Source organism: Homo sapiens, chromosome 1 (assembly GCF_000001405.40).
Source record: "Homo sapiens chromosome 1, GRCh38.p14 Primary Assembly".
In the NCBI taxonomy this organism is placed as follows: Eukaryota; Metazoa; Chordata; class Mammalia; order Primates; family Hominidae; genus Homo; species Homo sapiens.
The window spans coordinates 15,507,572-15,529,606 of record NC_000001.11 but is presented as its reverse complement, the minus strand read 5'-3'; the positions used below and the strand labels follow the sequence as shown (position 1 = coordinate 15,529,606).

At 48.0% G+C, this 22,035-nt stretch overlaps 2 protein-coding genes across 12 annotated transcripts in view, besides 9 other annotated features; one reads left to right on the top strand and one right to left on the bottom strand.

Annotated features, from left to right (window-relative positions):
• DNAJC16 (DnaJ heat shock protein family (Hsp40) member C16) overlaps positions 1–2,759 on the bottom strand; it is a 44,886-nt gene extending 42,127 nt beyond the window's left edge. For 2 of the 3 annotated variants that reach the window (NR_109898.2, NM_015291.4), the window contains exons 1-2: positions 2,649–2,759; positions 335–519 (exon numbers count right to left, since the gene is read on the bottom strand). Coding sequence is in view for 1 of the 3 variants with exons in the window: in NM_015291.4 (NP_056106.1) it covers positions 335–501 (167 nt within the window). In the remaining 2 variants the exon portion in view is untranslated. The remainder of the gene's footprint in view (positions 1–334; positions 520–2,648) is intronic. The other variant, NM_001287811.2, reaches the window with a different exon arrangement.
• Positions 2,295–2,394: a silencer, noted in NCBI's record as "silent region_307". NCBI's record gives its function as "represses an Ori minimal core promoter by ATAC-STARR-seq in GM12878 lymphoblastoid cells {active_cell/tissue: GM12878}" and the evidence as "EXISTENCE:reporter gene assay evidence [ECO:0000049][PMID:35858748]".
• Positions 2,295–2,613: a biological region, named in NCBI's record as "Sharpr-MPRA regulatory region 4011".
• Positions 2,319–2,613: a silencer, noted in NCBI's record as "tiled region #4011; HepG2 Repressive DNase unmatched - State 1:Tss, and K562 Repressive DNase matched - State 1:Tss". NCBI's record gives its function as "represses a minimal TATA promoter and a strong SV40 promoter by Sharpr-MPRA in HepG2 and K562 cells {active_cell/tissue: HepG2 | K562}" and the evidence as "EXISTENCE:reporter gene assay evidence [ECO:0000049][PMID:27701403]".
• Positions 2,600–3,103: an enhancer, noted in NCBI's record as "H3K27ac hESC enhancer chr1:15852999-15853502 (GRCh37/hg19 assembly coordinates)". NCBI's record gives its function as "activates a minimal SCP1, AML or CMV promoter by ChIP-STARR-seq in primed H9 embryonic stem cells {active_cell/tissue: H9 hESC(primed)}" and the evidence as "EXISTENCE:reporter gene assay evidence [ECO:0000049][PMID:30033119]".
• Positions 2,735–2,874: a silencer, noted in NCBI's record as "silent region_306". NCBI's record gives its function as "represses an Ori minimal core promoter by ATAC-STARR-seq in GM12878 lymphoblastoid cells {active_cell/tissue: GM12878}" and the evidence as "EXISTENCE:reporter gene assay evidence [ECO:0000049][PMID:35858748]".
• Positions 2,985–3,084: an enhancer, noted in NCBI's record as "active region_238". NCBI's record gives its function as "activates an Ori minimal core promoter by ATAC-STARR-seq in GM12878 lymphoblastoid cells {active_cell/tissue: GM12878}" and the evidence as "EXISTENCE:reporter gene assay evidence [ECO:0000049][PMID:35858748]".
• Positions 4,313–4,752: a silencer, noted in NCBI's record as "silent region_305". NCBI's record gives its function as "represses an Ori minimal core promoter by ATAC-STARR-seq in GM12878 lymphoblastoid cells {active_cell/tissue: GM12878}" and the evidence as "EXISTENCE:reporter gene assay evidence [ECO:0000049][PMID:35858748]".
• The window catches only part of CASP9 (caspase 9), a 33,512-nt gene continuing 16,171 nt past the window's right edge, over positions 4,695–22,035 (top strand). For 4 of the 9 annotated variants that reach the window (NR_102732.2, XR_007064158.1, NM_001229.5 and 1 more), the window contains exons 1-3: positions 5,392–5,538; positions 11,212–11,497; positions 21,700–21,734. Coding sequence is in view for 6 of the 9 variants with exons in the window: in NM_001229.5 (NP_001220.2) it covers positions 5,407–5,538; positions 11,212–11,497; positions 21,700–21,734 (453 nt within the window). In the remaining 3 variants the exon portion in view is untranslated. Of the gene's footprint in view, positions 4,756–4,816; positions 5,025–5,391; positions 5,539–11,211; positions 11,498–21,699; positions 21,735–22,035 lie in introns of those variants that run through there. The other 5 variants (XM_005246014.3, NM_032996.3, NR_102733.2 and 2 more) reach the window with 5 other exon arrangements.
• Positions 5,033–5,422: a silencer, noted in NCBI's record as "silent region_304". NCBI's record gives its function as "represses an Ori minimal core promoter by ATAC-STARR-seq in GM12878 lymphoblastoid cells {active_cell/tissue: GM12878}" and the evidence as "EXISTENCE:reporter gene assay evidence [ECO:0000049][PMID:35858748]".
• Positions 19,346–20,275: an enhancer, noted in NCBI's record as "NANOG-H3K27ac hESC enhancer chr1:15835827-15836756 (GRCh37/hg19 assembly coordinates)". NCBI's record gives its function as "activates a minimal SCP1, AML or CMV promoter by ChIP-STARR-seq in naive H9 embryonic stem cells {active_cell/tissue: H9 hESC(naive)}" and the evidence as "EXISTENCE:reporter gene assay evidence [ECO:0000049][PMID:30033119]".

The following is a 22,035-nucleotide window of genomic DNA, read 5'->3' as shown; positions in this document are numbered from 1 at the left end:
ATCATGGGAAGGGTAGCATATCCATTATTGACTATATATACATTTTTTTAAAATTAAAACTTGTTACTTTAACATTAAATATGCTAACAGTATCTAAGGCAATTCTTTAAGCCAAAGTATTCCTAAAAGGGAGTTTCAGAGTAAACATAGGCTTTGGATCTTATCGCTAACAATTATAGAACATGAACATTAGCTCTCCTGCGTAAAATATTTTAGACAGATATATATATTGAACATAGAAACAGAGACAAATAAAAGCTAGTCATAATTTAGACTTCATCCCTGCTAAGACTGTTTAGCTTATGTTAAACCTCTATTTCTTTGTTTCACCTACCATTCCCGGGCGAGCTTCTTATAAGCCTTTTTAATATCAGCCTGACTGGCTGTTCGGCTGACCCCTAGGACTCTGTATGGGTCAAAATCCAACGCAGACAGAATTTGCAGGATCAGAACCAGAACTATCAAGAACTGCCAGGAAATGCTCAACTTTCTCACTTCCATTTCTCTTCCTTTCCAGAGCTGAAATGATTGAAGAGGCAATGAGTTTCAGTGGCAGAAACCTGGACAGTCTTGCTTTTTAGGTAAAGGTATAAGATATATAGATGAAAAACAAAACCAACAAAAGGTATTTTGCAGGAAAAGTGTCAAGCTGTTGAACTGTATCTTAAAATAAAAATCTCGCTACTGCTTTTGAATATCACAAATGAGAACTATTACAGATGAAAAGATGAGTAATAAGAATAGCAACTCTCCAGAACACTTTGACTAGAAAAGCTTTAGAAATGAATGAAAATGAATGGGATGCAGAAATAATACATAAATGAGAGAAAACCTAAATAGGATAATCAGGACGACTACCTCTCAAATACATGATTTCATTTATTCTGATAAGAATAAATAAAATAAATGGTTTAAGAATACTTCATTGAGTACATGTTAAACAAACTCATGAAACTGTAAGATTTACCATGTACAAAACTACAAAATGAGATAGTTGTGGCATTCTTGGGCATTAAATAAGTACAAACATGGACGTGAAACACTCTCAAAAAACTGTGTAGTTAAGACGCAGTATGCCTCAATTCTATTCTTTCTCACCACACCATTCAAACAAGAAAATGAGAAGCTGCTCTTTAATCATTAGTAATATGGTGTTTTTTTGTTTTTTTTTTTTGAGACGGAGTTTCACTCGTTGCCCAGGCTGGAGTGCAATGATGGGATCTCAGCTCACTGCAACCTCCCCCTCCCAGGTTCAAGCAAGTCTCCTGTCTCAGCCTCCCCAGTAGCTGGGATTACAGGCATGCGCCACCCTGCCTAGCTAATTTTTTGTATTTTTAGTAGAGACAGGGTTTCACCATGTTGGCCAGGCTGGTTTTGAACTCCTGACCTCAGGTGATCCACCCGCCTCGGCCTCCCAAAGTGTTGGGATTACAGGCGTGAGCCATCGCGCCGGCCAATATGGTCATTATTAATGGAAACCTCAGATGAGAAAAAGCGGCAAGAAAAAATTTAGTTTTACATGTGAAGAAGAATTAACGGCAAAGACCAAATAGCAGGCGTGGTCTTTAAAAGTTTCAAGCTCCATCTCTGGTGAGTACAGTGACTTAATTCATTGTGAATTTTGGAAATAATCCTGGCTGGTTAATGAACAGGGTAGTGCTGGAACTGCAGATATTTATACTCCACAATTATGATTGCTGTTATACCCTACAATGTTTTTTTTCAAGGAACACATTTATCTTGATTTCTCACAAGTTAATACAGTTTTAAGGTTCAAGTGTCTTCTGTGACACCTTACTGAAGAAGGGCAAAGCTATAACAGTGGTGGATTTCCGTAAGTGCAAGTTTAATGCCGCCTGGGAGTCCTCACAAAATTGACTAATCTGATGACCAACGTTTAAAATTGCATACGTGCTGAATAAAATCCTAAAACAAACCAGTTTCTTCTTTGTTAAGGCAACCTATTATATCCTAGAAAACACGTGAAGGCAATGTAGCTACTGGTTAAGCATATGGGTTGAAGACTAGGATCTATTCTCCACTACTTTATTACCTTGGGCAAATTATTTAAACTTACTAAGCATCAGCGTCCTTATTCATAAAATGGGAATGAATACTACCACCTTGAAGGATCATCATGTGGGGACTAAATGCATGTAAAGGGTTTACTGAGCCCAGAGTCAACAGTCAACAAATGGTCGTTAGTGCTATTATTTCTACCATGCAGTACGATCGCTGCCTTATTTAACCATGTCAGTTCCTTCCAGCTAGAGGGCCGAAGTGGCGGTGGTCTGGGAAGTTCTTTAGCTGACATGCGAGATAGACGGCGCCGACCTCGGAGCAGCAAACACCTGCCCAACAGGTAGGCTGCCAGCTCTCTGGGCAGCATATCCAGGACCAGGAAGAAGCTCCCAGAGACAAGCTCCAGGTCTAAGCCCCGCCTCGCGCTCCTGCCGGAGGTCGCAACCCTGCAGGAGACAGCCCCCTCCCCCGCCGCCCTCCGAGAGCCCAGGGCCCGGCCCTGTTGGCTCCCGGCTCCCCCCGGGGCCAGCAGTGACTGGAAACGAGAAGGAACTGAGGGGAAATCCCTGAGTCGGCCTGGCCCCGCCGCGTCCGCGGTTCCGCGCGTCACGCCGGGAAGGAGTTACCGGGAAAGTACACCGGCCCAACCGGCTGCAGCTCCGTGCTCCAGTTAGTTCGCCGGGCCGGGAGCTTCCCGTCCACACCAGCGCTCGCCTGGGCCTGGGGAGGGGAAAGAGGAGGGGACAAGCCCGAGGGGAGTCACGTGACGCTTAAAGGTCTATCGCACTGAAGGCGAGGACCGAACAGGTCGAGGGCGTCTACTGGGCGAATCTATTTTGACCCTTGCCACTCGCCGTCTAGGCGTGGACCTGGGGTGGTTGCTATAGAAACGAGGCGCGCTCTTTGGTTGCAGCCAAAAGGCTGATCGTGACCAAAGAGGCCAAAACGTGCCTCCTAGCGAGGCGAAGTCGCTATGCATGATGGGATACCAGAAGGACCTCCTCGATCCAGGAAGGTGTTTCCGCTCCTACCGGGAGATGGCCCTCGTCTAGCAACAGTTGCTAGGATGGGGACGCACTCTCTGGTCCCTATTCTCTTTAACCCTATTCGTAGAACCTTAGAGCGTCAGATTGGAAGTGACCTTAGGGATTCTTTAACTCTCCAACTCCTGCAATATTGATAGGGAGACCGAGGTCCAGAGAGGGGCAGAGATTTGCCCAAGGCCTAGAATCCAGCATTCCTTTTATTTTTGTTTACTTATCTTTTTTTTTTTTGAGAGAATCCAGGACTTTTAATCCCGTTTACCGAAAACCGAGCTCCACCCAAGAATGTACCAGTCTGTGCCTTAAGCACGGGGAAAGGGCGGTGGGGGTGGAGAGAGGGATAAGGCACAGGTAAGTGAAGGAAACTTTCTTTGAGCCAATGAGATAGATCCCTTGCGGATATAAAGAGCTTTCATATCTCCCTGTCTTGTTTTTATTTTTTTCTCTTTGCATTTATCACTATCTAACATAGTATGTCTTATTTATTGATATAGTTTATCACCTGATCCTTCCACTGGAATGTAAACTCTAAAAGCAGGGATTTTGTTTTGTTCACCTTCATGTTCTTAGTGTTTGACTACAGGCTCAATAAATATTCGTAGAAGTGAACGAATGGGGCTGAGGTTTTGGTGCTCAAGAGATTATATTCTAAGGTGGATTCTTAAGAGTGTGGCTTACAGAGTCAGGTTCGGGTTTCAATCCTGCCTGCCTCGGCCACTTAGTACCCAAGTGACCTTAAACATTCGTTTCCCTGAACCCTAGGGTCTACATCTGTAAAACCGGCGGGGGGTGGGAATACTTTCCTGGCAGGATTGTAGTTAAGGATAAGTGAAATAAGCATGAAAAGTGGCTAGCACGATGCCTGGGACTTAGCAAATGCTCAGTAAACAGAAACGATTATTTTTGAAATGTGAAAATGAACCGTTCAGAACGATGGGAGTTTACAGGACTAGATTTCTGCCGTTTTTTTTTTTTTCTGTGTGGGAGGTGTTAGGGTGGGAGGGAGGGAAGAGGGAATGGAAGACTGTGTAAGGTGGGCTTGGTTGGATCAGACACTCGAGTTTGGAACAGTCAACTGCGATCTGGGCACAAGGGCGGTGAGGGGAGCTTATGGTTTTACTTGGGGTGGAGGAGGGGGCTAAGGGGAAGCCATGCCCCGGAGGAGGTTGAATGGGCGGGACAGATCACGGCTCCACTCATGGTTTCCCTCTTGCTGGAAGTGTGACGACTCCCTCCGGATCTCTGTAAAAGCGGGGCTATAGTGAATTCTGGCGAAGGGCCCGCGGTGGACCAGGAACTGGTGCCAGAATTGCAAAAGGGCACCTGCGCCCGGAGTGGGGAGGTGATGCGGGGGCGGGGCGGGGCCCTGGGGGCGGGGCGAGTCGCGGAGGTGCCGCCTTGGGGCGGGGCGGTGACAGAAGGATGGATCCTGGGGGTGAGGATTGACTTTGGGGGCGGGGCGAGAGTGCGAACTGGAGTCTGAGGCTGAGCGGTGACGCAAGGACGATTCTGAGGGTGGAGCGAGGGGAGGGGATTGGCTCTTGGAGGCGGGGCGGTGGCACGAGGCTAGCCCTTGGGGGCGGGGCGGTGGCGCAAGATTGACCTTGGGGGCGGGGTGGGGGCGTGGGTTGAATCCTGGGGGCGGGGCGGTGGCGCGGAATGGATTCTGGGGTCGGCGCGAGGCGCTGAGGTGCGTCCTGAGGGCGGGGCGATGACGCAGAGCGAATCCTGGGGGCGGGGCGAGACCTTCTAGATGCGTCCCGGGGAGTGGGCGGTGACGCGGTGGCAGGTTCTGGGGACAGGCGGTGACCCCAGAATTGACCCTGGGGACAGGGCGAGGCGCGGAGGCGTCCTGAAGGCGAGGCGGTGACGCAAGAGCGAATCCTTGGGGCGGGGCGAGGCGTTGGAGATGCGTCCTGCGGGCGGGACGGTAACGCGGGGGCGGGGCGGTGACGTGAGGTCAGTGCGGGGATACGGGGCGGGTTCTGGGGCGGGGACGCAGTGGTGGATTCTGGAGCGGGGCGGTGACGTGGGGCGGGTTCTGGGGCGGGGCGGTGACGCGGAGCGTGTTCTGGGGCGGCGCGGTGATGGGAGGCTTGGCCCTGGGGGCGGGGCGAGGCGCAGAGGTGCGTCCTGAGGGCGGGGCGGTGACGCAAGAGCGACTCCTGGGGGCGGGGCGAGGCCTTGGAGATGCGTCCGGAGGCGGTGGGGAGCGAAGACTGACCCGGGGCCGTGACGCGGGGGCAGGCCCTGGGGCGGGGGCGGGTCCTGGGGACTGGGGCGGGCGGCCGAGGCCCGGAAGCGGACTGAGGCGGCCTGGAGTCTTAGTTGGCTACTCGCCATGGACGAAGCGGATCGGCGGCTCCTGCGGCGGTGCCGGCTGCGGCTGGTGGAAGAGCTGCAGGTGGACCAGCTCTGGGACGCCCTGCTGAGCCGCGAGCTGTTCAGGCCCCATATGATCGAGGACATCCAGGTGCGCCCCCGGCCCCCTGTCCCCGCGCTGCACGGCCGGGTCCCCACGCCCCTCGAGGAGGCGTTGTGCGGGAGCCTAGCCTTCCCTGTGGCTTCAAACCCCTCAGCGGAGCCAAAGAATCCCAAACACCTCTTAGTCGGGTGTTCGCTAAAGCGATTCCATGCCATACTCAGTCAGCGTACACTGTTAGTGCTTGTGTTTCTTGTGTAAAGGAAAAATGTGAGACACATCTTGAGAACTTTGAATAAGAAACAATTCATGAATTGGAGAACATCAGACTGAAAGAGCTTTAGTGTTGCAATGACAAAACGTCAGAGGCAAGTATTTATTGGGAAAATGTGGAAGCAAAATAAAGAAATTATTTGATTGGTTTGCAGTTACAAAATTGCCTTTTTTTTTTAAGGTCTGTTAATTGACTGCTTTTGGCTGGTCTTAAGTTTTATTTCTCTCTAACATAAGCATTTATCAGATATGACCCAAGTTAAATTTTGCTTATGTTTGCAGTTTAAGCAAGATTTAGGTCACTTAGGATACCTGATTGGTTTTGTCTGCTCAGGAATTCTTCATGGTTGGTCTCCATTTTAATTTACGTTAATACTTGCGAGGAAGGAGGCGTGTGCGTTTTTACTTTTCTAGCATAGAGGTTTCGGGAACCCACTTTGGCATCAGGCTGCCTGGCAGCGTGTTCTTGGGCCAGTCACTTACCCTCTTTGAGCCACAGTTTCTGGGCTGTGAAATGGGAATAAGAATAATACTGTCATAAGGACTAAATGAAATAACGGATGTGAAACTGTAGTGCTAGGCACAGAGCGGGGGATCAGCGTACCCTGCCCTCTTTGGCCAGCCCCTTCTGTGTTCAGTTTATGTTTTGTTAAGAGGTTTTGGAAATGAGGGGACCTGATGCAGAATGGAGAATAATGAAGTCAAACATTTGAGGTTTTGTTTAAAAGCACTTTCCCATCTTTGTCTCATTTGACCCTCATCACAGGCCTGTGAGGATGCAGGAGATATTTCCTACCATGAGGTGCAGTAGGTGTGAGTGGCTGGCTGGATATCCCTGGCCAGTGCCCTGGCCCAGGGAAAGAGTCTTTAAATAATTGAGTATCATATGAGTAATTATTCATTAATAATAAAATAAGTTTTGTGCCTTCTGTGTGGCCCCTACTGGGGAACAGTAATGGTTTGAGGCCACAGTCCTTGCCTTCAGGAATGTTCACGGGGATCACAAACTCAAATGCCCATGGAGGACCAATGGATGGGCGTCATAGTGGATAGCCTTTGCACTGCCCTCCGTCTCCAGCTGAGTATGGCCATATCAACAAATGGCCCAGTATTGCCACATCTTACACTTATTTTGAGGCAGGGTCTCACTCTTGCCCAGCCTGGAGTGCAGGGATGAGATCATGGCTCACTGCGACCTTGACCTCCTGGGCTTAAGTGGTCTTCCTGCCTCAGCCTTTAGAGCAGCTGGGACTTTAGGCACATGCCACCATGCCTGGCTAATTAAAAAAAATTTTTTTTTTGTACAGATAGGAGTCTTGCTATGTTGCCTAGATGAGTCTCAAACTCTTGGCCTCAAGTGATTCTCCTGCCTCAGTGTTGGGATTACAGGTGTGAGCCACTGTACCCGGCCCAGCTTTCACATCTTAAAAAAGAAGCTGAAAATCTTGATTCCTCTGTCAAATTCCCTGGCTTAAAATGTTAGCAACAAATTCAGAAATTTTTTAAGAACCTTGTGGGAACCACAGGTTGCCATTTTGCCATTCAGTATGGCTGAAAAACAGGCAGGTTTTGGAACCAGTTGGATCTGGGCTCTCATCCTGGCCTTGTTACATATTAGCAAGTTGTAAAAAACCACAACCAATGAGCCAAACAAACAGAAAAACCCTATGACTCAGTTTCCCTGAAATTTTTTACCCTAAAAAGTTGGGAAGTTCTAATTTAACTCTATAAAGTTATTGAGGGAGAAAAAGATGAAACAATGCATTTAACACAGTGTTGACCTCCTGGAGTGTTCAGCAAATGTGGAGAGAAACCTAAACACCACCATCTATTTGCATGTAGCCAACTGTTCTGCTAGTGAGACTTACCTTCTCAGTGGCACTGTAGGTCTGTGCTGTTCCCAACAGTAGCCATTAGCCACATGTCGTTAAAGGTAAATTTGAAGTAATTAAAATTAAATAAAACTAAAAATTGGTAGGGTCAAGCCTTACAGGGCCTGTGGGTTTTTCTCCTCGTGTGCGGAGATGAGAGATCGTAGAAATAAAGACACAGGAGAAAGAGATAGAAAAAAAGACAGCTGGGCCCGGGGGACCACTACCACCTAGACGTGGAGACAGGGTAGTGGCCCCGAATGCCTGGCTGCGCTGTTATTGGATATAAGGCAAGGGGACAGGGTAAGGAGGGTGAATCTTCTAAGTGATTGATAAGGTGAAGCAAGTCACGTGATCATAGGACAGGGGGCCCTTCCCTTTTAGGTAGCTGAAGCAGAGAGAGAAGGCAGCATATGTCAGCGTTTTCTTCTATGCACTTATAAGAAAGATCAAAGACTTTAAGACTTTCACTATTTCTTCTACCGCTATCTATGAACTTCAAACAGGAACCAGGAGTACGGGAGGAACATGAAAGTGGGCAAGGAGCGTGACCATGGAAGCACAGCACCACAGGGAGGGGTTTAGGTCTCCGGATGACTGCGGGCAGGCATGGATAATATCCAGCCTCCCACAAGAAGCTGGTGGAGCAGAGTGCTCCCTGACGCCTCCAAGGAAAGGAGACTCCCTTTCTTTTTTTTTTTTTTTTGAGGTGGTGTCCCACTTTTTCGCCCAGGCTGGAGTGCAATGGTACGATCTCAGCTCACTGCAACCTCCACCTTCCGGGTTCAAGCTATTTTCCTTTTTTTTTTTTTTTTTTTTGAGACGGAGTCTCGCTCTGTCGCCCAGGCTGGAGTGCAGTGCCGCAATCTCGGCTCACTGCAAGCTCCGCCTCCCGGGTTCATGCCATTCTCCTCCCTCAGCCTCCCGAGTAGCTGGGTCTACAGGCACCCGCCACCACGCCCGGCTAATTTTTTGTATTTTTAGTAGAGATGGGGTTTCACCGTGTTAGCCAGGATGGTCTCGATCTCCTGACCTCGTGATCTGCCCACCTTGGCCTCCCAAAGTGCTGGGATTACAGGCTTGAGCCACCGCGCCCAGCCAGGGTTCAAGCTGTTCTGCCTCAGCCTCCTGAGTAGCTGGAATTACAGGTGCGCACTACCACGCCCAGCTAATTTTTTTGTATTTTTAGTAGAGACGGGTTTCACCGTGTTGGTCAGGCTGGTCTTGAACTCCTAACCTTGTGATCTGCCTGCCTTGGCCTCCCAAAGTGCTGGGATTACAGGCGTGAGCCACCGCGCCTGGCAGGAGACTCCCCTTCGCGGTCTGCTAAGTAATGGGTGTCTCCCCAGACACTGGCATTACCGCTTGACCAAGGAGCCCTCAAGCGGCCCTTATGCGGGCCTGACAGAGGGCTCACCTCTTGCCTTCTAGGTCACTTCTCACAATGTCCCTTCAGCACCTGACCCTATACCCGCCGGTTATTCCTAAGTTATATTAGCAATGCAACAAAGAGTAATATTAAAAGCTAATGATTAATAATGTTTATAATAATGATTGATAATTGTCCATGATCATCTCTATACCTAATTTGTATTATGACTATTCTTATTCTAACTATTTTCTTTATTATACTGAAACAGTTTGTGGCTTCAGTCTCTTGCCTCGGCACCTGGGTAATCTTTCGCCCACAAAAATTCAGTTCCTCAGTTGTACTACCCAAGTGCTTAATGGTCATGTGATATATGGTTACTAAATAGGACAATACAGACCAAGAATATTTCCATCATCACGGAAGGTTCTCATAGACAGTGCTGCTGTAGGATAGTTGAGGACACGGTGCCATCTTATCCCTGTGGATCCTGAGAACCTGTCCAGTGCTGGGTATCTGAGGACAGGTGGCAGATAACCAGACTCTTCCTTCTTAGTGACTGACCCCACCATCCTGACACCTCTCAATTTTTTTTTTTGAGACAGGGTCTTGCTCTGTCACCCAGGCTGAAGTGCAGTGGTGCTATCACAGCTCACTGCAGCCTTATCTCCTGGGCTCGAGCCATCCTCTTGGGAGCCTCAGCCTCCTGAGTAGCTGGGACTACAGGTGCGTGACACCATACCTGGCTTTTTTTTTGTTATTTTTTGTAGAGACAGGGTCTCACTGTGTTGTCCAGGCTGGTCTCGAACTGGGCTCAAGCTATCCTCCCACTTCAGCCTCCCAAAGTGCTGGAATTGCAAGCATGAGCCACTGTGCCTGGCCTGCCTGTCAACCTTGACCCTTGCTCTGTCTTCACAGTCCCCCCAGTCAGTGCCCATGTCCTATGGACCCTCTCTCTTTGTATCTCTGCTTTGTCCTTTCACTTCTCTCTATTCTAGCTGCACCATCTTTGCTGCCTCCTGATCTGGCTATGGCTCACTCCTTTCCATTTTTCACCCTGACCCCTGGATGACTTTTTGAAAGGCCATATCTGTCTCTGTCACTCCATTCTTAAAACTCTTTGGTGGCCGGGCATGGTAGCTCACGCCTGTAATCCTAGCACTTTGAGAGGCTGAGGTTGGTGGATCGCTTGAGGTCAGGAGTTTTGAGACCAGCCTGGCCAACATGGTGAAACCCTGTCTTAACCAAAAAATACAAACATTAGCCAGGCATGGTGGTGGGTGCCTGTAGTCCCAGCTACCTGGGAGGCTGATGTGGGAGAATCATTTGTACCCAAAAGGTGGAGGTTGCAGTGAGCTGAGATGGTGCCACTGCATTCCAGCCTGGGTGACAGAGCAAGACTCCTCAAAAAACAAACAAAAAAACAACCGATGGCTGGCCACGGTGGCTCATGCCTATAATCCCAGCACTTTGGGAGGCCAAGGCTGGAGGATCACTTGAGGTCAGTTCAAGACCAGCCTGGGCAACATGGTGAAACCCTGTTTCTACTAAAAATAAAAAAAAAATTAGTCAGGTATGGTGGTGTGTGCCTGTAACCCCAACTACTCCGGAGGCTGAGGCAGGATAATCGCTTGAACCTTGGAGTTGGAGGTTGCAGTGAGCTGAGATTGCACCAGTACACTCTAGCCTGGGTGACAGAGTGAGACTCCGTCTCAAGAAAAAAAAAAAAAAACAAAAACAAAACCAAAAAACTCTTTGGTGGCACCTGACAGGTCTCAGGATGAATTTCTTGGCCTGGCCACACAAAGGCCTTGTCCCTTGCCACTATCTACCTCCCACCTCATAAGACTCTGAATTCGCTATTCACTTCATGATATCCTCAGCCCCATGTGCTTCCCTCTGGGCACTTGTCTCTTGTTGTGTCATTGCTGATTTGTCTGATTGCATTCCCCATTAGAAATTTGCTCCTTAAGGACTGAGACTGTCCATGGCAGCATTTTCAGCACTTAGCATAGTGCTGGGCATCTTTTGCCCTGCAAAATAATGAACAGATCAGCAAAGGCTGGTAAATGGCACACAGTGCACCTGCAGCTCCATTGCTGCCCACGTGCCTGATTGTTTAGACTTACAGTAGCTGGGAAATGGGGAGACAAGGTGAGAGCCATATAAAAGTACGTGGATAATTAGTATCCTGCCTTTCTTTCCAAACAGCGGGCAGGCTCTGGATCTCGGCGGGATCAGGCCAGGCAGCTGATCATAGATCTGGAGACTCGAGGGAGTCAGGCTCTTCCTTTGTTCATCTCCTGCTTAGAGGACACAGGCCAGGACATGCTGGCTTCGTTTCTGCGAACTAACAGGCAAGCAGCAAAGTTGTCGAAGCCAACCCTAGAAAACCTTACCCCAGTGGTGCTCAGACCAGAGATTCGCAAACCAGAGGTTCTCAGACCGGAAACACCCAGACCAGTGGACATTGGTTCTGGAGGATTTGGTGATGTCGGTAAGTAGCAAGAGAGTGATTGGTGGGTGGGCATGACACGTAGTCATTTGGGACTCACTATGAGTACAGCTGGGTGGGCTGAGATTCAGAATTTAATTTTAGCATTGTCTTTCTGAATGTTCATAGGGATGGCAAAATTCTGGGAGGTTTTCAGGAGGTTGAATCTTGGCAGCCCCTCCTCTGAAAAGCATGTGTTGAGGTCTGTTTTGGATGTCCCAGGTTTTTTGTTTTTGTTTTTGTTTTTTTTCCTGCCTTTGAGATAGCAGGCCCCAGGTTTTGATCAATGTTTCCAGAGCCATCTATTGTTTTGGATTTGCCTTTCAGTCTGGGTGGGTAGCCTGGACTACCTCATGTCTGGGGGCAGGAGACAGGCCTCAGTTGTATCTGCCCCATACAAACAGACATCTGCAAAGTATTTACCCTTACCTTCTTCGTTTATAGCAACCTTGCAAGGCAGGTATCATTAGACCCATCCTTGTTGATGGAGAAACTGACTGAAGCTCACGGAAATTAAACACTTTGCCAAAGGTCACACGGCTACATCCAACAAAATGCATAAATCCCAAGAGTAAGCTGGGTGATTTTTACCTATGCATACCCACAGGTAACTAACACCCATATCATCAAGATGAAAACATTCCGGGGTCCTGTAAGACCGTTGACTCTCTTTCCATTTCTTCCCACTTTCCCTTTCCCAAGGTAATCACCGTTCTCATCTCTATCGCCAGAGATCCCTTTTGCTTGTCCTTAAACTTCAATATAAATCCTATATAGTCTTATATGCTCTTGAGCCTGGCTTCTTTCATTCATCATTGTATCTTTGAAATTCATTCATATTGTTGTACATATCGGTAGTTCATTCTTTTTAATTTCTACATGGCATTCTGAATAATCCACAGTTTATTTAACCATTTTCCTACTGATGGACATGTGGGTTGTTTTCAGTTGGGGCTTTGTTCCCATGGCAGCGTGTGGAGCTCTAGCACTTCCTGTTTCATGGGTGTCTGGTGGACCATTGCATGGTATCAAAGTTAATAATCATAATAGTAATGGTGAACATTATTGAGTAATTGCTATTTGCCAGGCACCGTTCGGAGTGCTTACATAAATGATCTAATTTAATCTCTCCATCTCTCTTGTAAGGCAGGTGCTTTGCTGTTAGAAAAAGTGAGCCACAGATTGGGAGATGACTTGTGCCAAATCACACAGCTAGTGAGGAGTGGAGACAGGGCTGCAGCCCGGGCTTACCTGTTCTGTCTGCTCTGCAGGGTAGCCCCATGTGTGCTTTGTGGGACACACCTCATTGATCCGACTCATGCTGGTGGACATTGTGTTGTTTCTGCAGTTAGCCTTGCATGTGCGTCTAGTTCTGACTGCAGGATATTTCTAGAAATGGAATTGTGTGTTAAAGGGTACTTGTTCCTGTCCGATAGATGCTACCAACTTATACTTCAAAAATATGTCATTTTAGCCAGGTGTGGTGGTGTGAGCCTGTAGGACAAGCTACTTGAGAGGCTGAGGCAGGAGGACTACATGAGCCTAGGAATTCACAGCCAGCCTGGGTAACTTAGTGAGATCCTATCTCTAAGAAAAAAGAAATTGAAAAATTGTGTCTTTTTTTTTTTTTTAATTGAGGCAAGGTCTTCTGTGGCCCAGGCTGGAGTGCAGTGGCATGATCACGGCTCACTGCATCCTTGAACTCCCAGGCTCAAGCGATCCTCCCACTCAGCCTCCCAGGTAGCTGTGTGCGCCACCAGGCCTGGCTAATTTTTTTGTATTTTTTGTAGAGACAGGGTCTCACCATGTGGCCCAGGCTGGTCTTGATCTCCTGGGCTCAAGCAATCCTCCCATCTCGGCCTCCTGGATAGCTGTGCATGTTATCCCTGGCCATTTTTTTTTTTTTTTTTTAAGAGGGAGTCTCGCTCTGTCACCCAGGCTGGAGTGCAGTGGCGCAATCTCAGCTCACTGCAACCTCCACCTCCTGGGTTCAAGCAATTATCCTGCCTCAGCCTCCTGAGTAGCTGGGACTACAGGCAGCCGCCACCATGCCTGGCTAATTTTTGTATTTTTAGTAGAGATGGGGTTTCACCATGTTGCCTAGGCTGATCTTGAACTCCTGGCCTCAAGTGATCCACCTGCCTCAGCCTCCCAAAGTGCTGGGATTAAAGGTGTGAGCCACCACTCCCAGCCCATGCCTGGCCAATTTTAAAATTTTTTGTAGAGATAGGGTCTTACCGTGTTGCCCAGGCTGCCCTCAAACTCCTGTGCTCCAGTAGTCTGCCCACCTCGGCCTCCCAAAGTGCTGGAATTACAGGTGTGAGCCACTGCACTCGGCCCAAATTGTGTCATTTTATAATCTCACCAACTGCGAGTGAAGGTGACCACTTTCCCACATTCTTGCCAACAGTGAATATTGACATTTTTTCCTGTGTGATGGGTAAAAAGTGCTGTTTTCTTTCAACAAAAATTCACCAAAACTCATTCATATTGTTGTGCATATCAGTAGTTCATTCTTTTTAATTTCTAGATGGCAGCAGTTCCTGTTCTGAATAATCCACAATTTATTTAACCATTTTCCTATTGATGGACATGTGGGTTGTTTTCAGTTGGGGCTTTGTTCCCATGGCAGCGTGTGGAGCTCTAGCACTTCCTGTTTCATGGGTGCCTGGTGGACCATTGCATGGTATCAGAGTTAATATTCATAATAGTAATGGTGAACATTATTGAGTACTTGCTGCATAATGGTGATTTTTGGGCAATCCACTAAAGCAGAGAAACAGACAAACATGATAAGGGTAGGAAGCTGCATTTGCTTGAAGTGTAAGGAAGAAGACTGGTTCTGGAATTGGCCATGTGCATTACCATCCTGTAAAGGAGGCAGGCAGAATACAAAGCTCATCTGTTGTTATTTGGTTCTGGGAAATGTCAACGTGAGTCATTTAGGACCAACAGTCAGAATTTGAAACTTCCTGTTTTTTTGGAAGGTGTTTTATTTCCTGTTTCTTGTGAATATTTATTCCTAGTAGGAGCTTAATTCTGAAGGGTAAATAACAACAGCAATAGTAAGATCACTTAATTTTTTTTACTTTATTATTATTATTTTTTGAGATAGGGTCTTACTCTGTCACCCAGGGTGGAGTGCGGTGGTGTGTTTTCGGCTCACTGCAACCTCTGCCTCCCAGGTTCAAACAATTCTCTCACCTCAGCCTCCCAAGTAGCTGGGACTACAGGTGCACCACCATGCCTGGCTAGTTTTTGTATTTTTTGATAGAGACAAGGTTTCCCCATGTTGGCCAGGCTGGTCTTGAACTCCTGACCTCAAGTGATAAACCCGCCTCAGCCTCCCAAAGTGCTGGGATTATAGGTATGAGCCAGCACGGCTGGCCCAAGATCACTTTAAATAATGTGAATATCACTTTGTAGTATACACAGTGTTTTTTCAGGTCATCAAAACCACCCTGTGCCGTGGTAGACATGGCAAGCCCGTCTGTCATTATATGCTACTTACAGGGGAGGAAACTGGGTTCTGAGAGCAACAGTCACAAAGTGAGTTCCAGTACAGAGCTAGGACTTGGGCCTAGGTCTTCTGGCTTAATAGAGCGACTGTCCCATTTTCCATGAGCTGCTGAGAGATGTCCTTTTTAGATGCTGGGCCTTAGACTCCAGAGTACTGCATGGGAATGTTTCCCAAGGTAGGTTTCATGGTGACCCACAAAGGAAGAGCTGTGTATTCATATGTATGGGAAGGTCTGGCTGAGCAAGAATAGGGCCAGCAGCAGAGCCTTTAATAAGTGAATACAGGAAAGGATGCTGTAGGTCAGTGTTTCACACTGGGGACGATTTTTCCCCGACCTCCAAGGGACATTTGACAATGTCTAGAGACAAATCTGGTTGTTATAGCTGAGGGTGGGTGGGTGCTACTGGCATCTAGTGGGTAGACAGAGATGCTGCCAAAACCCAACAGTGTACAGAGTAGCTCTGCACAATAAAGAAGAATCTGGCCCAAAGGGTTAGTGTGGTGGGGCTGAGTACACACACTGCACTCATACATATTCATTGAGCATGAGTGTCAATGAATAATAATGTGGACACATCAGTTTTATTGAGTTGTCAAGTGTGTCGGGTATTGTTCTATGTGCCTCACATGTATTAATTGTTTGAGGTGTCATCACAATCCTATGAGGTTGGTAGTTGCTCCTATTATCCTGTAATACAGATGGGGAAATCAGAAGCCCAGAGACTCTGAGCTCCTTGCCCATTGTGACACAGGTGCTAAGTGTTGGAGTTGGGATTTGAACCCAAGTACCTCAGACTCACTCCATCACTGTCTCATGAAGAACAAATGGCTCATTCTCTTTCTTGTCCCTATATTTGTGCCATTACTCATTAGCTCACACAAATGTTTACTAAGTACCTGTTGGGTTCTAGGTGTTGGGGATGCAGCTTCGAACAAGGATGCCCAGTCCTTGCCTTCAGGTGGAGAGGGGCAGGTACTCAGTTCATGCTTGCCTAATTTGGTCTTTATTCACGGCTGTGGGTAGTGCTATGAAGCTGAACACGGTGCTTTAGAGGTGCATCATTAGGGGACCCACCAGAGAGAGTGGCTTTGTCTTTGTATATTCAAAGGAAAATGCCTTTTCCTTCAGAATGGAAGGAACTTTCTTAGTTTCAGACGTGATGCCTTGTGTGTAACTGCTTGTTCCAGCCAGGGCCTCTTGCCCGGGAGGACTGGGAGAACTGTTGGTGGCTGTGTTCTCATGATTCTCCAGAGAAAGAGAACCAATAGGGGGTGTGTGTATGTGTATAAAACAGCATCTTTTGTTCAATGCTGCATCCCCAACACCTAGAACTCAGCAGGTACTTAGTAAACATTTGCATGAGCTAATGATTAATGGCACATATACACAGACAAGAAAGAGAATGAGCCGTTCGTTTTTTTTTTTTTTTTTGAGACGGAGTCTTGTTCTGTTGCCCAGGCTGGAGTGCAGTGGCGCGATCTCCGCACACTGCAAGCTCTGCCTCCTGGGTTCACGCCATTCTCTCGCCTCAGCCTCCCGAGTATCTGGGACTACAGGCACCTGCCACCATGCCCAGCTAATTTTTTTGTATTTTTTTTAGTAGAGACAGGGTTTCACCATGTTAACCAGTATGGTCTTGATCTCCTGACCTCGTGATCTGTCCGCCTCAGCCTCCCAAAGTGGTGGGATTACAGGCGTGAGCCACTGCACCTGGCCAAGCCATTTGTCCTTTATGAGGCAGTGATGGAGTGAGTCCGAGGTACTTGGTTCAAAGCCCAACTCCAACACTTAGCAGCTGTGTCACAGTGGACAAGTAGTTGAGTCTCTGGGCCTCTGTTTTATATATATACATATACACACATACACACACGGATATATATAGAAAGATATATGCATTTTTTTTGTGTGTGTATATATATATATCTTTATCTAAAAACATATTTATTACAAGGAACAGGCTCATGCAATTATGGACGCTGAGAAGTTCCAAGATCTGCCATCTGCAAGTTGGAGACCAGGAAAGCTGGTGGTGTAGTTCCAGTCTGAGTCTGAAGGCCTGAGATCCAGGAGCACCAATGGTAGAAGTCCCATTCCAAAGGCAGGAGAAGACTGATGTCCCAGCTCAAGTAGTGAGACAGAGAGAGATCAAATTCTCCCATTCTCCACTGTTTCGTTCTATTCAGGCCCTTGACGGATTGGACGCGGCCCACCATCCTGGGGAGGGCCATCTGCTTTACTCTGTCTACCTATTCAAATCCCATTCTCATCCCCAAAACACTCTCACAGGCACCCTGAGAAATACTGTTATATTTAACCAAATATTTGGGTACCCTGTGATCTAGTCAAGTTGACCTGTGAACTCAACCATCAGTGGCTTTCTCTGCTCATGCCTTGCCTGGGTTGGAACTTCCTTGAAAGTAGAAGTTGGCTTTTCAGCCCTACCTGGCTTCTTGGTCTCTTTGCTCTGGGGCTGGTGGCTGTGCTCACCTCCCATTACAACTCAGGGTCTCTGAGCCCCCAATTCCCCTCTGGCAAATGGGGATGTGTGCCAGTACTTCTGTGCTGAAGGGCCTGCTCTGAGGAGTAAATGAGGCAGTGTGTGGAGGGACTTCACATGGGGCCTCCTATTGAGTGAGCCTTGGGTCTTGTTGGTCAGCTCTGCTTCCTTCTGTGATTTCTAAATTGCCAAGGGCTGGGGAGGGCCAGTCCTAGGGCATCTTCCCTTCTGTAGGGTCCCCCAGTTCCCCTGTTTCTTTCTGTGTCCTGATTGAAAATCACAGAGTGCTTTGACCACCCTGTGACCCAGCCAGCTACAGGTTTTTCCCAGCAGACCTGAGCCCAAACCTGGGCCTTAAACATTCTCAGGCATTGATAAAGGTATCTAGGTAGGCTGGGCATGGTGGCTCACGCCTGTGATCCCAGCACTTGGGGAGGCCAAGACGGATGGATCACTTGAGGCCAGTAGTTTGAGACCAGCCTGGCCAACATGATGAAACCCTGTCTCTACTAAAAATGCAAAAATTAGCTGGGCGTGGTGGTGTGTGCTTGTAATCCCAGCTACTTGGGAGGCTGAGGCAGGAGAATTGTTTGAACCTGGGAGACAGAGGTTGCAGTGAGCCAAGATTGTGCCATTGTACTCCAGCCTGGGCGACAGAGCGGGACTCTGTCTGAAAAAAAAAAAAAAATTAGGTGTGGTGGTGTAGTCCTAGCTACTTGGATGGCTTAGGAGGGAGGGTCACTTGAGCCCAGCAGGCAAAGTTTGCAATGAGTTGAGATTGTACCACTGCACTCCAGCCTGGACAAGAGAGTGAGACTCCGTCTCCAAAAACAAAACAAAACAAAAAGGTATCTAGGTTATCACCCAAAACAACTGAAAGAAACCAGCCTTGGCCCTGAGCCAAATTCCTTAAACCCTCATATAAACTCCTTACCCTGACCTCTTCACTTTGGACCAAACCTAGGTAGACACCTGTTTTTTTTTCTCGCCTCCGCACCTCGAGGATTGCTTTGGCCAGATCGCCCTGGCATTTATTGCTTCTTTCTTTGGAATCCCAACTGGCCCCATCTTAGGACAGTTTGGGGCACTCCCTTGTGGGAACTCTTCTGCTGCCACTTCTGGGGTGATTCCAGCATAGGTTCGGAGGGACGAAACCCCTTCTTTCCCTTGGGTGGCAGAGAGGATGTGCTTGCCCTCTTCTGTTTGTGTTGGAGACCTGGGCACATGCCCAGTGACTCAGGCTGGAAGACTGATTCTTTTGCACACACTTAGCCATGTGTGTTTATTGTCCCCATGGGAGTGGCCATTTCAGGAGAAACTGGTCTCATGCACCTTGTATCTGACCATGTCACCCAACTTGAGGGGCCCTGAACATGCCATGCTCCTGCATCCTCCCTGCCTTTGCTCATGCCGGGGCCTCTGCCTGGAGTGTCTCCTCTCCCTCTTTCTTTGGGCACCCCTTGGTTGATTTGCTCCCTCCATGGGCACCTGTAGCCCTTGGCCTCTTGAGAGCAGTCATTTTGCTTTATCAATAGATATTTCTAATTTGGGGAATGAGTGAATTCCTCAGTAGTGGATAGTAGTTATATTTTTGGGGTACAGCGGAATTTTGGAAATGAGCAAATGTTCTCAGAATGAAGTCTGTGGATGAATAGGAATTTTCAGGGTAGGTAAAACCATTTCTAACTTTAAAAATGGGATGTGAATGGGATGTGAGTGCTTTTCTGCTGTGGCCTTTAAGCTGGCAGAATAGTTCAGACCTGTTCTAAGCAAGGAATGGCACTGTTATTGGAACAGGAGTATGGGCTCCACTGCAACTTGGAGGTGGCCACTGTATTCTCCTTGTTTAAAAAAGAAAAAATGTAGGCCGGGCGTGGTGGCTCATGCCTGTAATCCCAGCACTTTGGGAGGGTGAGGCAGGTGGATCACCTGAGGTCAGGAGTTCGAGACCAGCCTGGCTAACATGGTGAAACCCCATCTCTACTAAAAATACAAAAATTAGCCAAGCGTGATGCAGGTGCCTGTACTCCCAGCTACTTGGGAGGCTGAGGCAGGAGAATCGCTTGAACCCAGGAGGCAGAAGTTGCAGCGAGGCAAGATCGCGCCACTGCACTCCAGCCTGGGTGACAGAGCGAGACTCTGTCTCAAAAAAAAAGAAAAAACATCTCATAACCTTTTAGGCTGGTGGCCAGTCAACTTCTTGCTAACGGAAATGAAAACTCTTTTGATGTTGATGGAAAATAATCATCTTTATTCATTTATTCATTCTGCAAGTATTTCCTGAGGACCTGCTGTGTGCTGGGCCCCTGTGGACTCGCAGACAGTGAGCATCCGCTCTCCTGAGCTTCTCTCACCTCTTTCTGCTCTGGAATTTCTTCTCAATGAGACCACACTATTTCTATACTCTCTGGTGTCTGGCTTTTTTCACGCAGCACGTTTTCTTTCTTTTTTTTTTTTTTGAGATGGAGTTTTGCTCTTGTTGCCCAGGCTGGAGTGCAATGACGTGATCTCGACTCACTGCAACCTCTGCCTCCCAGGTTCAAGCGATTCTCCTGCCTCAGCCTCCCGAGTAGCTGGGATTACAGGCGCCTGCCCCCTCGCCTGGCTAATTTTTCTTTTTTTTTTTTTTTTTTTGTATTTTTAGTACAGATGGGGTTTCACCACGTTGGCCAGGCTAGTCTCGAACTCCTGACCTCAGGTGATCTGCCTCCCAAAGTGCCAGGATTATAGGCGTGAGCCACCGCACCTGGCCTTACGCAGCACATTTTCAAGGTTATCCCGCATTGCGTGTATCAGTGAAGCGGTGTCACTCGTCTGGGGTAAATACCCAAGATTCATTGTCTTCACAGCCACGGAAGACTAGGACACGGACATACAGTGAGGTTCAGAGTGGAAGTATAATAGGTGAAAGAAAGAGAAGAGCTCTGTCTGCTGCAGAGAGAGGGGTTCCAGTGAAATGGGTTGCTGTTTCTGCAATGAAATGCAAGGGGTTTTAAAGATGAGCCTGAGGAGATGGTGTCTGATTTACAAAGGGCACAAAGATTGGTCAGACCAGGTGTTTCATTTGCATAGGATGCATAAAACTGGTTAGGGCTAGGTGTGCCATTTGCATGTGGTGCGAAAAGCTGGCCAGCCCCACTCCAATCTTGTGTTATGCAGATGGGTTCTCTACCTGGCCAGTGCCATGTTGCCTACTTCTTTACTGTCTTGTGGTAACAAAAGGGAAGATAGAGCCTCTTTGCTGAGTATATCTGGCCCCCTGGTAGCCCTTTTCTATTGGCACAGCTGCTGGCATTCACTCCTGTGAGCTTCCAGCTTGCTTATCTATGTCTGCAGCTTGATTTTTCAGGCTGCTCTTTTTTAGAAAAGAAATGATTTGAGGCTGGGTGCAGTGGCTCACACCTGTAATCTCAACACTTTGGGAGGCTGAGGTGGGTGGATCAACTGAGGTCAAGAGTTTGAGACTAGCCTGGCCAACATGGTGAAACCCCGTCTCTACTAAAAATACAAAAAAATTAGCCGGGCATGGTGGTGGGTGCCTGTAATTCCAGCTACTTGGGAGGCTGAGACAGGAGAATTGCTTGAATCTGGGAGGTAGAGTTTGCAGTGAGCCAAGATAGTGCCATTGCACTCCTGCCTGGGCGACAAGAGTGAAACTCCGTCTCAAAAAAGAAAAAGAAAAAAGAAAAAAAAGAAAAGAAACGATTTGGGGATTTTGTTAAAAGGGAAATTCTGCCGAGGACTGTTTTACCCTCACTATCTGCCTAAATAATTTCTTTCTGTCTCCTGTATCATCAGTAGCTCATTCCTTTTTAGGCTGTGTAATGTTCTCTTGTGTGGCTGTATCACAATTTGTATATCTACCAAACTGTTGTTAGATTGGTTGTTTCCATGTTGGGGCGTGATGAATAAGGCCTCAGGGAACATTTTGGCCAAGTCTTTTGTGCCCGTTTGCACTCCTTGCTCTTTGATATATACCTAAGGGTGGACTTGCTGTCAGAGGGTAGGTGTGTGTTTAACTTTGTTAGAAACCTCTAAACAGATCTCCAAGGTGGCTCTCCCACCAGCAGAGTCTGAGGGTCTGAGTTCTCGCTGCTCCGTTCTTGGGGGGCTGTCCTCACAGAGCCCCTTGCCCCTCCTCTGCTGTAACCCAACATTCATGTTTCTCTCTTTCTCTGCCTCTTCAGGTGCTCTTGAGAGTTTGAGGGGAAATGCAGATTTGGTGAGTCTCCATGAAATTTGGGCCAGTAGCTCGGGCTCTGGGCCCTTCCCTCCCCACCCCTCAGGTCCTTCCCTGCAGGTGTGTCAGGAGCCCAGGGAACCCAACCCTAGGCAGTGCAGTGGGGGTCTGGTCTCAGCCTCCCTGACTCCGGCCCAGCGCCTGCTGGGGCAGATTGTTCATCTCTGCGCTTCCTCATCTGCAAAGCTGACAGCAGAAGCAGGGCAGACCTGATGAGGGGCAGTCATCGGGATCCAGACCAAGTCGCCACTCTCTCATTCACAAGTATTTATTGTGTGGCTCC